The following is a 14,981-nucleotide window of genomic DNA, read 5'->3' as shown; positions in this document are numbered from 1 at the left end:
ACTGTCTAACTGGCCTTAAAAAGTCATTTGAAGTAAATGGATTCTTGGTGATAAATACTAATGACTTTTAAAAGTCAGTTTTTTTTGTTTTTTTTTTTTCTGGCTAGAAGTACAGTTTTACATCTCATGTTAAGTCCAGTGAATTTTTCTCCTTTAAGAAGAAGGGAAAACATTTCAAAATTGGGTCTAACTTATTTAGTCTTTCTGTCTCTGCTTCTTTCTTGTAATTGTGCCAATAGAATACTCCAATTTTTGGTATTTAAAAAACTAATCTTTGTTTCCATACTTTTTAGTAAAAACTGCTTTGGATATTTTGAATATTTTTACTTCTAAAACATGGGCTTCATTTAAATGATATATTTAAAATATTTCTACAAAACATCTTATTTAAATATATTAATCCAAAATCCGACACTTCTTCATCATGGTCCTGGGGAAGGCATGGAGACAAAATTCAATAGTGCTAAGAATCCAAGTGGAGTCACTGGCCATAATACTTCACTTAGCTATTTACATAAACTCCAGTGTCATGCAAGTACAACCAATGGACTAACTACAGCTGGTCCCAATTGTACAACCCAATCTCAGTGAACTGGGAAGACTCAGCACTGACCCCAGACCCTCCATCACTGTAGAAATACTTACACAGCTACAAGTGAAACCTCTTCACTGATAGCCCCTTCGAAAGGGTGCATGTTGGCAGACTACAGTCTCCCTGCCCACTTTACCAAGGAATAGGCAATGCACATATGGGCCAGCTGTAATGAGTTCATTAGTTGTGCCTGCATTACAAAGGAGGAATCAGAGTCTCTCCTCCCTGAATTTGAATTGCAAGTGCCATTGCCCTCAGGGATGGAACTGAACCTGGAAAGCCACCACACAGAATGCATCTGGAGAGAATGGACTGTCTGCAAGCTGAGGCTCTGAGGAACAGACAACTAATAAATTGATCAAAGGCACTTCCATTTTCTTTGATACAATCATGCAATCAACTAACTTAATCCCTTGATTTTCTAAGTTTTCTTAAAATAATCTAAAATTCCTTGCTGAAATTCTAATCCAGCTCTATGGAGCAAGACTTCTTTGGTGCTTAAGAACAGTCTGATGGGCTGGAAGCAGGTTATTTGAGGTAACCTCAATGTAGATAACAACATTAAAACCTTAGTTCTCCCTAGAATTTTGAACTCTTAAAATGATCCCTACTACAACTGTTCAGTTAAGTATGAAATTTATGTGTTGAGAGATATCTAATAAAAGTATGTCTTTTCTTCATAATGATAGTCACTTATACTATAACATTAAATATGCATTCTGAAAAAACAAAATAAAACAAAAGACACCACGCTAAGTGGGATTTCACGATAAAAACCATAGAGCTTATGGGAAAATTGGAGCTAGATGCACAGCACTGTAAAAATTTTTATCAGTAACAGAGAAAATAATAGAAACCTAATAACAGCAGCTTAATTTCCACATAGGAAATGGTTAATAAATGCATAAGTAATACAATAAATGTGGCACTTCTGAAAAGATCTGAAGCGTACTTATAGAAGTGGTCATCAGAAGGGATGTAGCTTGTGAATTACTGTGAAGCAGCAGTGGAAGGAGGGTTGATAAGTTTTGGATCTGTGACCCGACCTAAATCTCACGTTTAATTGTAATCTCTGGTATTGGAGGTGACTGGATCATGGGGGCAGTTTCTCATGGTTTAACAACATCTCCCTAGGAGCTGTCCTCATGATAGTGAGGTTAGTGGTGGCACATATACACCATGAAATATTACGCAGCCATAAAAAAGGATGAGTTCATGTCCTTTGCAGGGACATGGATGAAGCTGGAAACCATCATTCTCAGCAAACTAACACAAGAACAGAAAACCAAACACCACATGTTCTCACTCATAAGTGGGAGCTGAACAATGAGAACACATGGACACAGGGAGGGGAACATCACACACCAGGGCCTATTGGGGGGTGGGGGCTAGGGGAGGGTTAGCATTAGGAGAAATACCTAATGTAGGTAATGGGTTGATGGGTGCGGCAAACTACCATGGCATGTGTATACCTATGTAACAAAACTGCATGTTCTGCACATGTACCCCAGAACTTAAAGTATAATAATAATAAAAAAAGTGTGTAGCACTTCCCTCTCTCTCTCTTCATCCTGATCCAGCCATGTAAGACATGCCCGCTTCCCCCTTTGCCTTCTACCATGATTGTAAGTTTCCTGAGGCCTCCCCAGTCACGTTTCCTGTGCAGCTTGTGAAAATGTGAGCCAATAAAACCTGTTTTCTTTATAAGTTACCCAGTCTTAGGATTTTTTTTTTTTTTTTTTGAGATGCAGTCTCACTCTGTCACCCAGGCTGGAGTGCAATGGTGTGATCTAGGCTCACTGCAACCTCCGCCTCCCGGGTTCCAGCAATTCTTCTGCCTCAGCCTCCCAAGTAGCTGGGCCTATAGGCGTGTGCCACTATGCCTGGCTAATTTTTGTATTTTTAGTAGAGACGGGGTTTCACCATATTGGCCAGGCTGGTCTCGAACTCCTGACCTCAGGTGATCCACCCACCTCCACCTCCTAAAGTGTTGGGATTACAGGTGTGAGCCACTGAGTCCAGCCAGGAATTTTTTATAGCAGTGCAAGAATGGACTAATACAAGGGTTATCCAAAATTGGCAGAAAAATTGTAACATCTCAAGGAATAGATGGGGTGTGGCTCATAACATAAGCAGCAAACTGAGGAATCTGGAAGATGTTTGAGGGAGAGCTGGCTCCATGGATGTGCACCTTGTGCAGGAACACATGGCCCCATGCTTAGGAGGACACCAAACTTGGTTTAACGTTCTGCTGTGGCCGTCTTGAAATCCTTAATAATTCTGAAACAAGACGTCTCATATTTAATATTTTGTATTGAGTCAGGCAAGTCATGTAGCTGGCCCTGCTTTAGGATGTGTGTGTATGTATGCACGTGTGTGTATTTTGTGTTTCCTTACAGGATGCTATTCAGCTAGGTGCAGTTTTCTGCATTATTGCCATAGCGTTTGTAGCAAATGAAATTGTGCATAAGCAAACTCAAACTTCTTATTACGCTCAAATTTCCTCCTCATGTATCAATCATGATGGAACAAAAAAAAATCATGCTTTCTAAACAAGCATTATAGCAGAACTGACTGTACTTGAGTATTAGAAAACTATTATTAATGTGAGGTAAAACAAAGGAGAAAAGGATCCCACAATGAGGACAGCAATGCACTTCCTAAAAATACAGGCTGTTCTTGGCCAGGGAACCCCATGCTCTAAGTGAAGAAAGTCAAAGTATACTAACTCCTCCAAAGAGTAGTCTAGAATTCCCAGGGGAAAGAGCACATTTGCATTAAAAAATGAATCAGCTGTTTACAGTTGGCTGTTCTGATTGTCCTTTCTAAGTCTTTCTCCCAAGCATTTTGGCCTGGGGCCTTGGGAAAAGAGGTAGAAGGAGGGATTTTTAAAATCTTTCAGCCAAACTGCTAGACTGCACAGTGGAGAAGAGAGGGAGGGCATCTCTCACTCTCTTCAAGGACAGGATGGGAGCCCTGTCCTGCGCAGAAGGCTCCAAGCCTACCTGGGTTGACACCTGGAAAACACACAACACAAAGGCCACAACACAATGAATTGATCATTTGGATACTGGGAATCCAAGGAGGTAGGATCTCACCGGTAGCACACAGCTTCCCAGTCCAGCAGGATTTTAGAGTCTGAAGGTCCTGTTTTTCATAGAAGGTGGCCATGCCCAGAAAGCACAGTTTAATTACTTTCTTTTTTATAACTCTCAAGCTAATGTGACAGACTGAACATCCCTATTTTGACATTTCCACTCTTTTATGGAAAATAGGGCAGAAAAATAAAGGGCAGAAGATTAACTTTGATATTGTTAGCTATAGAAGAAATACTATACATCCTTTTTATTAAATTTGTCTCATCCTCATTGTATAAACTCACTCTAAAATAAAAAAAAACTGTCATTCAACACTGGTAGACACTATTTTATAGTCATTCTACAATTTCCAACCAATGTGTTTTACTTCATCTTATTTTTACAGAATAATGAAAATTCGGAGCATAGTAAGCATAAGGTATTTTAACTACAAACCACAAAGGACAAATAATGTCATAGAAAACAATTTGCCAGAAACCACTTTCTCTCAGAGCTTGGTTTTCCTTCCACATATTTCCTAGCTATTTAAATTCTATCACTTAATATCAATCCCAGGACTAAATTTTCTCTCTTGAAACTCCTTGCTTTTAGTTATTTCTTATGAATAGGTTTATCTTCTCTTATACTTAACCAGCTCTTAGCCCTTGGTTTATTTAAAAGTGCTACTTGTCATGATAATGGATACTGATATGTTGATTGACATCTTTTCTTAAAGCATTTATGGCAAGGTTTGGCTTGGTTTTCTACACATCTGGTTATCAGGTGCTATTAAGAGGCCCATTACCATAATTTATTTTTTACATGAGTGTGACTTTACCCATGTGGTTTTCTCCTAAGTGCTACACACCTGCTATTTTGTTTCGTTTTCTAAAAGATTACATTTGCACTTTTAGAGGAAAACCACAAGGATGCTGGTTTTTATCCTTCTTTCTTAATCTTGCATTTCCATTCACAATGAAATAGCTCTTAGTCATTTTAGTGTGAAACCAAGTTTAAGATAACACAGATTGAAATTGAGACGTATAAAGCCCTGCTTTTGAAATGAAAATGTTCTTCAATAGCACTGCAGCCCCTTCAAACCCACAGTGTTTCAAATGTCTTTTAAAATGAGGCAATCTGTTCATTCCTGTGAGATGGATTATTTTAAGAGAGCTCCTTAGATTTGCTGTGCTGCTAGTTACTGGGTCTCCCATTAGCTTGTCCACTGCCAGCTCTCAGATCATACAAGGCCAGTGGGAGAAAATTCACTATATTGGCCATTCCCCACATTTGTGCTCAGAGAAGCTATGCCTGTGTCTGGAAGACAGTGAAGAGGAAAAAAAAAAAAAAAAGTTGAAATTTGTTTTACTCCAGTACTAACAAGCAAATATACATGTGAGGATGTATTTCTTATAATATTAATACAAAGCCTTATATTAATAAGATGGGGAAAATATTTCAAACAATGCATTTGACAAGAGGTTAGTATCCAGAATATTCAAGGAACACAAATAACTCAAGGGAGAAAAAAATTCCAGTTAAAAAACGGGCAAAAGACCTGAGAAGGCATTTCTCAGAAAACATACAAATGACCAACAGGTATATGAAAAAATGCTGAACATCACTAATCATCAGGAGAATGCAAATCAAAACTACAAGAAGATATCATCTATTCTGAGTTAAAATGGCTTTATCAAAAAGACCAAAGAGGCCAGGCGCGGTGGCCCAAGCCTGTAATCCCAGCATTTTGAGAGGCCAAGGCTGGTGGATCACCAGGTCAGGAGATCAAGACCATCCTGGCTAACATGGTGAAACCCTGCCTCTACTAAAAATACAAAAAATTAGCTGGAAGTGGTGGCGGGTGCCTGTAATTCCAACTACTTGGGAGGCTGAGGCAGAAGAATTGCTTGAACCCAGGAGGCGGAGCTTGCAGTGAGCTGAGAATGCACCACTGCACTCCAGCCTGGGCGAGAGAGCGAGACTCCGTCTCAAAAAAAAAAAAAAAAAAAAAGAAAAGAAAAGAAAAGAAAACAACCATTGTCCTGGAAGTAGAGAAAAGGGAACACTTACACACGAGTGGGAGTGTAAATTAGTCCAGCCATTATGGAAAACATTACGGAAGTTCTTCAAAAAATTTAAAAAGTGAAATAACCATGTGATTTAGCAGTCTCACTACTGGGCATTTATCCAAAGGAAATGGAATCAGTATGTCAAGGAGATATCTGCACTCCTATGGCTTTTTATTATTTTTTTTTTCAGCACTATTCACAATAGCTAAGATATAGGGTCAACTGAAGTATCCATCAATGGATGAATTAATAAAGAAAATGTGGCATGAATACACAATGGAATACTACTCATCCATAAGAAAGAATGAAGTCCTGTTATTTGTGGTGGCATGGATGAACATGGACAATAATATGTTAAATCAAATAAGCCAAGCACAGAAAGACAAATACTACATGATGTCACTCATTTGCAGAATATTAAAAAGCTAATCTCATAGAAGTATGGAGTAGAATAGTAGTTAACAGAGGCTGGGGAAAATAGGAGGAAGTGGGGAATGGGGAGAGATTGGTTAATGGGTACAGAATTACAAATAGATAGCAGAAATAAGTTCTGGTACTCTATTTCACAGTAAGGTGACTGTAGTTAATAATGTGGTATTGTATATTTCAAAATAACTAGAAGATATAATTTTGAATGTTCTCACCTCAAATAAATGATATCTTTGAGGTAATAATGTAATTACCCTGATTAGATCATGGTACAATGTATACATGTATTAAAACATTAGATTGTACTCCATAAATATGTACACTTATTACATGTCAATTAAAATAAAATAAAACTAAAAATAAATAAATAGCCTTAGTCCTTGGGGCTAGCAGAGGAAGATCATTAAGAAAAATGTAGCCCTCCAGTCTCTGATTTAAGAAGAGGAAAAGTCTGTGTGGGTGTGTATATGCTTGAGAGAGAGACTGAAATTGGTTTCATGTATCTTTAACCTACAGAGAAAAGGGAACACTTACACACGTGGTGTTTTATTATTTTTTCCTTTCTGTTCCCTTGAAAAAAATGTGGCATGTATACACAATGGAATACTACTCATCCATAAGCTTCCTAAAGCTTGAGTTCCCTTATCTAAAATGCAATGCTCATCAGAGGACCCACTTTGTGAGATGTTAAACATTAAGGTCCTTAGCACAATGCCTAATACATAGTTGAGTTCTCAATGAGCATTAGCAACTTATATCATTTTACATATTTTTGAGCATGGTATTATGATGCAATATGTACAACTGTGTGACACCAGCAAGAGGTTTATATAAGAGTGTAGCTTGACAGAAAGACAAGTGACACATGTTCTCACTCATATATGGGAACTAAAAAAGTTGGAGGAAGAGAATAGACTGATGGATACCAGAAGCTGGGAAGGGTGTCTGGGTGGCAGCTGGGGTGGAAAAAGAGGTTGGTTAATGGGTACAAACATACAGTTAGATAGAAGGAATAAGATCTAAGGTTTGATAGCAGAATAGGGTGACAAATGACAGTGTATTGCATATTTCAAAATGCCAGAAGAGAGGACTGAAAATGTTTCCAACACAGAGAAATGGTAAATATTCAGGGTGATGAACACTTGAAATAACCTGACTTGACCATTACACAGTCTTTGTACGTAACAAAATACCACATATTCCCTATAAATATGTACACATATTTGCATCAAATTCAAGAAAGAGGGTAGCTTCATTTCAGAGTTTGTCAAGATCTCCCATCCTAAGGTCGGACATAGTTATAAAAGTATTTACTTCTCCCTAACTCTATTACTATATTTTTGAACATGCTTATATTGTTTTTTCCAAAGTTGAAGTGTAATATTAATCATATAAGCAACTTGTTAGTAATCCAGATTCCCCGTCCTCCACCCAGGAACTTCTGATTTGGTAAGTTTGGGGTATGGCCAGGGAGTCTCACTTTGGAGAACACATCCAAGTTATTATCAACCAAGTTTGAGAAACATGGCTACCACAAGATTTAATAAAGGATAATACCATTTTTATGGTCTTATTTGAATAAAATTACAAACTACTCAAGGAATGCAGCAAAGACAGGGTGTTCAGAAAACATTCTACATGCCCTCACTTTCTCTCAGCCTCCCTTTAAGTAAGGTGAAGGCCAACAGGTTGCAACAAGTGCCATGGATCACCGCCAGGTCACCACATTGAAACAGGTAGGCAACTTCTTCATTGCTCTTTTCCCTTTCTGAGATGAGCCTTGAGGGCTCTGGCAACCTGGCTCTTGAGTAATTATAGAGAGTAGAGCACCAACCTCACCCTCTTTCCCCTGCACCCATAGTGTTCATGTAGCATAAGCAAGAAATAAATCTTTATTGCAATTCGTCACCACCATAACTGTTACAGTGGACAAATTTTCTGTTCATCAAATAGAACCTAAAGAAATAAGCACAGAGAAACTAGCTATTCAATAAACACTCATTGATTATACTGGGGGGAAAAGATATCACAAAAAAGTGCAGCCCAATGAGATGAAAAACAATACTAACTCATCTAAATAGGTGAAGGATGTGGCCTCGTTGGTGGTACATGAAGAAAAGGTCTAAGGTGGCAGAAAGGTTGGGAATGGGGAGACTGGTTAATTTCAAGGGAAACAGATACTAACCCACACAGAGCATTCTGACTAAACCTGTGTTCATCAAAGGGAATTCTGCTTTGTGCAATCAATCAACAGTTGCTCAGAAAACCACAATAAAATGAAGAATCTACCATATTTTTAGAATTTGGATGTGTGTCTGATTTCCAGAGAGCGGCTTCAAATATTTAAGCTGCTAACATCAGACCAACAATGAACTTAATGGTAATTGAAAACATCTTCGGTATAAATAAGAACACATTTTGCACACTTTATTTAAAAAGTTTACTCATGACTTAGACCAACACAGATGTGGCTTAGAGGCATTCTATAGCTAAAGAAATAGAACTTGATGGGAAAGAATAATACCAGAGAGGAAATGAACTGATATGATTTAAACTACAATATAACTAACATAGTAAATTATGTCAGCCATGGCTGCCTCAAGTAGAACATTACTTGATTTAAAGCCAGACAAGGCCACTGAATTATTTTCAGTTAATTATGAGCTAGCCATATGTTTCAATGAGAACAATGTGTTAATCAGTTACACTGACTCAATGGTGACAAAATAGTTGGTTTTTATTCTGTTGAATAAAGTGTACCTCATGGATTTAAGATTATGAATGCAATATATTTTGGCAGAGAACATCTTACTAAACGATTTGTGAAAATCCAAAAACAATATAAAGTCTGGCTATGTATGAGATTCTACGTCAAAGTACATGCTTTAGAAAAGGCATAAAGTCCTTCAGAATTACATGATAAGTCAGCAGTTTAGGAAATCTTTAAGTGTGAAACTCATCCTTATGTAGAAATAAATTTAACATCTGATCTGTATCACAGACATAGTGAAAATATTTAGAATGTATTTAATATATAATTGAGCAATTATATAAAACTGCCATTTTCATGCCTTATATCAAAAGAGACCAGTACTCTGCTATACTATGAAAACAAAAAAAATAGGAAGTACATTCTAATAATACACTCATACACCAAAACACTGGCTGTATATATAAGCAAAAAACACAAATAATACAAAATTGTAAGATATATTTTTATAAAAACATTTAGGCCGGGCTCATGCCTATAATCCAAGCACTTTGGGAGTTTGAGGAGGGTGGAACACAGGTGTTCTAGACCAGCCTGGGCAACATGAAGAGACTCCATCTCTCCAAAACATTTCTAAAAACTAGCCAGGCATGATGGGGTGCATCTGGAGTCTTAGCTTCTCAAGTGGCTGAGGCAAGAGGATCATTTGAGTCCAGAGTTGAAGGTTACAGTGAGTTATGATCACGCCACTGAACTCTATCCTGGGTGACAAAGGGAAACCCTGTCTCTAGATAAAAACAGAACAACAACAAAAAAGTGTAAAGAACATAGACACTTCCTTAGTTCTGAAATTACCTACTATGAGCATTCAGGTTTACAGCTGTGAAACAGTTCCCTTTTATTTAAAATAATCCATGTAGTCAATGTGAGAAGCAAAACATGAAAGACAAAAATAAAGTAGACTGACTTATTCATAAATTTGGTGCATTTAGGAAAATCCTTAGAAGACAGGATGTCTTCACTGAACTCATCTACCTATGCACAAGTTGTATATGTTATCCTGAAACAAAAACCCCAAACAACTATTCAAAACATCTCTTTCAAAAAGGATGTGCAGATATACAGTCATGTACCACATAATGACTTTTCTGTCATTGACAGATCATATATATGATGGTGTTCCCATGAGACTATGTTTAGAGATCTTTAGATACACAAATATTTACCACAGTATTACAGTTGCCTACAGTATTCAGTACAGTAACATGCTGTACAAGTTTGTAGACTAAGAGCAATAGGCCATACCATACAGCCTAGGTTTGGAGTAGGCTATACCATTTAGGTTTGTAGATGTATACTCAACGATGTTCACACAAGACAAAATCACCTGAGGTGACATTTCTCAAAAGGTATCCCCATCATTAAGCAATGCATGTCTATAATTAATGGTTTGTTGCTACTGAAACATATAAATCCTTGTATACCTTAATTTTTAAACATATGCTGATGTTTTCCAGTTCATGGAATTAATATTGATACATTTTCAATAAATCCTAGTAGAGTTAATTAAAATATTTGAAGCATGATAAATTTGTCAAGTTATTTTAAGATTAATACAGACTTCGAGAGTTCTGCCAGGCATGAATTTTCAACCTTCTTCCATCCAAAGTGTAATTAGAGACATTGAGTTTACTGAGGCTCCTTGGACATCTGTTTTGCTAAGCCCTCTCTTTAAAGCCTTGATCTTTGCCTCCCTAATTGCACATTTTATCAAAGCACTTTTGCTCCACTTTCCTAAGCCCTGTACAAATGTGGAGGTGATTCTGATTGAGATGAGTATGTGAGGCTCACTGATTTCATTGAAAAATTCATACTAGGGCAGAAGTAGGTGTACAGTTGCTGATTTATATGATTTTTAATGATCAATTTACTAACCTATCATTTTCTCTTACTAGGATATATACACATATATGTATATATACTTGCACATGTATATATTTTTGTTTATACACATAAACACATACATACATAAATATACATATGTGTACTTATATATAAAATATTTGATCCATGCTTAATAAATATTGGTGAAGAAAATTTGGTGACTATGGAAGTCAATCAAATTAGGTAATTTACAAACATTAGCCAGCTTTCTAATACATGGAGGAAAGGTAAATGTTTGCTTTTACATTTTGTACAGTCCTGTATGTATGTCCATGTATATTCTCTACATTATTTTTTCCCTAGAGAACCAGAGCCAGATTAAATTTTTTATGGGAAATACAAATCTCCTTTTAATAATGGATGGGCAGCAAGCTATTTCCTACATTTAATTACAGTAATCATGATTTGTTTTTAGTATATGTAAGGAATAACACACCTGACTTTTGAAAGAATATTACATATTTTTGTTAGAAGTATAAATTATTAAGGCATGTGTTATAACCATTTAGATTCAGAGCAAATAGGTTATAGAGTATTCTCTTATGATTTGTCTTCCTGAAATAATTTCTCTGAAAACAAAATGGCCCATAAGCTTATCATAGAATGTTATTTTCCAACTCCCATAAATACATAGTACCTAGCTACAAAAATATATATTGAAACTTGGGATTCCAGAAGACAGCTTTATTTTCTTATACATAAAATGAGAGAATTAAACCCAGTGATTTTCAAATTGCAGAGCACAGAGTTTCATGTATGTGTGTCCGAGGGGGCTTCTTAACATCCTCAGAAAGCTTCTGAGCTACCATGCAGATGGGTCTGCTCAACCTGCTCTGATCAGAAAAATGTTGCTTTATCTATTTAAGTTATATCTCTCTCTTCATTGCTTTCAACACGTATTTGTTGAGCAGTCATTGTACTAAGAGCTTTTCTAGCTGCCAGAAATAGAGAGATGAATGAGGCAGACAAAGGCTCCATTACAGAGTTTAAAGAGTTAATTCTAGATTTACACAACTAAATAAAGAAACTGGAAAACTCCTGGGCTATATATCTAATATTCCTTCTAATTATAAATTTCCTTTAAGTAACAATTGAATAGCAATTATTTGGCAAATCATTAGCAATGGGGAAGTTGTATCACTAAGATCTTCAACAGGATTTTTTCTCCTCTTTGTCTTCCTATCATCATCCTCAATATTACTCCAGTAACCTCTGTGCTCTTCTGGTGTGGCCTAAATATAACTTTAATTCTGGCATGCCTTTCAAACAGTTCCAGTTCTGAACCTAAGATTATTACAATGTTTTTAAAGGTAATGTAGTTTAAAGGAGGTTAAAACATTCAATCCATCTTAGGAGAAAAAACAAACTGTAAAGTATGAAACCTGACAATGATGTGTTATTTCCTTTTGGTTAAGTGATCACACACTAGAGGATATCATAGGCATTTTAGTAAAGTTAATCATTACTTATAATTCAAAAAAAAGGAGCACGTCAATGGTGTTGAATGTTCATAACTAGCTCTACATACCTCATAAATGTGTTCACAGATTGGTTGTGGGAATTGTTTGTGTTTCTTTAATCTATGGGTATTCATAAAACATTATTTTAAGGCAACACTTGCTACTTCAAGAAATGACTGATATATTATTTAGGATGGTTCTTGCCTGAGCATTTTTTAGTTACATTGTAAGGGACCTTCTAACATTGTGTTATTAACAGGAAGGAGTTTTTCTTACCCTCTGTGTAACCTGTTTCTTTGACTCTTGCAAATCCAGAGAAAGTATTTAATCATCTAATTGGAACCCTAAACAATGAAACTAAGTTGATTTTTCTACCAGATGTGTTTTACCCCGAATGTAAAGTTTTAAGGTGATTGTTTCTGTTGAAAAAACAAACTGGTATCAATGATCTAATCGCACATATTGTAAGAGATGAACAACTTCCCTTTGAATGGTAAAGACTGTGAATTTCATAATTTCTCATCTCCAATAAATTTCCATTAAAGTATTCGTACATCCTCTGTTCCCCAAAATTTCATTATAGTCTTCCTATTTATATTCTGAATTACATAACAATTCAATTTTTTATTTTGAATGTGCTAGTTAGCTGTATTTGTTCTTTAAAAGGAAAAATGAGAATAGAATAGCCTTTCTGAGAGGGATTTTAATACAAATTCTTACCTATTTCCCCAAACAGTGAAAGTAGGACAGACTAAAGAGACAAATTGTTTAGGTAAAGAAAAGCAATTAAAACACATATGTATTCTTAAATACGTACAAGTACATATTTACATTGAGAGAATCCTTCTTCAAATACTTAGGTATACAAATGAAGAAATCAGGATTTCACTGCCTCCCAATTTGTAATTCTTGTTTTAGTTTAGTTACTACTGAGTGAGCAGTATGTGCCAGGCACTACACATTATCCATGTTAGCTCATGTAGTCATTGCAACAGACATATTAAGTATTTTCAGAGAGTTTTAGAATTTTTAGTATCTGAGTTTGGCGATTGGAATTGATAAATGAAAAAGCTTAGAGAGAAAGTGAGGGGACACTGTGGAACCAAGGCCAAGTCTGTACTCACAACACCCCAGTAACATTTACAGCTCATACAACACATCTTGTAAATGGGTAGATTGAGGTCCTTATTCACAAAAAGTTGTTCTAGAAATTTCAAGGAAAATGCCATGTGAATAAATAGTTCAGGTGTTTTCTTTTCCAGGATAACTATGTTGATGCGTGATCTATGTGAAAGCGTTTGTGTGGCTGCTGCCCAAATAGCCCATTAACAACTGAATAGGTAGGACAAAGGAGGAAAAGGCATGATAGATGTGGTTGATACATAAACTGCCTGGCATCAGTTACCTTTTTCACTGAATATCTATTAAAAATGTAATAAGAAAATCATGGCATGAATCCTCTCGACAAAAGGGATAAACAAAAACAAACAGATGTTGCAATTCAGAATTTCTTAATAGGATCAAGTAATTTTATAACAGGAAGAGACACTGACTTTGGACAAAGTTATGTTAATTTTAAAATTCTTTGATAATTCATATAATTGTTATTTGTAAATAAAATGATTCTCAGTAGTTTTGAAAGAAAACCTGGTTAGGGTTAAATTCTAGGAAGTATACCAACCAAATTCCACCACAGGAAACTTTTATTGGTCTACACTGATTTCTTAGAAAGTAAACTTTTGAGAAAAAATTTAAAGAAAACAAAAATTGTACAATATTATTAAACATCTGAATCTTTGTTCTGTTTCAGCTGGAGTCTGCACTTGGAAATGTGTGAGGAATCCAGGACCTTATTCATACCCATGATATCATGATGGCTAATACATTAAATTGTACATAGTAAGTAATGATATAAATAGAAAGCAGATCATCAACCCAAGTATACTCAGAGGAAAAAAAAAGCAATGAGCAAGATAAAAAATAAAACAAATAGGACAAGATTCCTCACTCCATTTAGGAACATATTCTGTCTTTGCTAAATATTTTAACTTTCTAAACAAAACGTGTTATGCTTGAATGGTGTATTTTTCTTTACTTTTCAGTATTTTACTAAGAGATCTTCTATAGCACCCTTTCCTTTTGGGTAAATAAATAAAAGATAAATATCAAACAATTATATAATTTGAAAAAAATATAGGGGGATTGATAATACTATACTGTTTTAGTTACTATTTGGGGACTTTGGCTATAGCTATTTCATATTAACAAAAACCACATCTCACATTGACTGAGCTCATGCTTACTATGTACCAGCCATGGTTTCTTCACTTCATTTAATCGTCACCGCCACCCAAGGAGCTAGTTACTATTACTACACCTGATTTGCAGATGAGAAAACAGAGATACATAGAAGTAAAGTAATTTGCCCTTCCATGTGGTAGAGGAGTCTGCACCTAGACATCTGTAAACCCATGTTCTTAACCATTCAACGACATTGACCATATTAACTTTACCTGAATTCTTTTGGGATACATACATCAAAATGTATACAGATATAACAGAAAGTCTTCTCTGATGGTATAATACTACATTTTATGGCCTAGCGTATTGTCATTTAGTTTAAAAATTTTTTTTGAGGAGTAATACACAGTGATTCACTGTATCTAGAAAAATAACATTTATGTTAACATGGTAGTAGAG

General features: G+C 35.9%; 1 protein-coding gene across 3 annotated transcripts in view, besides 1 other annotated feature; it reads right to left on the bottom strand.

The window, feature by feature from the left end:
- GPC6 (glypican 6) overlaps positions 1–14,981 on the bottom strand; it is a 1,191,492-nt gene that overhangs the window by 778,885 nt on the left and 397,626 nt on the right. The gene's annotated exons all lie outside the window — the stretch shown is intronic.
- Positions 13,329–13,833: an enhancer, noted in NCBI's record as "NANOG hESC enhancer chr13:94267556-94268060 (GRCh37/hg19 assembly coordinates)". NCBI's record gives its function as "activates a minimal SCP1, AML or CMV promoter by ChIP-STARR-seq in naive H9 embryonic stem cells {active_cell/tissue: H9 hESC(naive)}" and the evidence as "EXISTENCE:reporter gene assay evidence [ECO:0000049][PMID:30033119]".

This window comes from Homo sapiens, chromosome 13 (genome assembly GCF_000001405.40).
Source record: "Homo sapiens chromosome 13, GRCh38.p14 Primary Assembly".
Classification (NCBI taxonomy): domain Eukaryota; kingdom Metazoa; phylum Chordata; class Mammalia; order Primates; family Hominidae; genus Homo; species Homo sapiens.
This window is presented reverse-complemented; position numbering and strand designations above follow the sequence as displayed.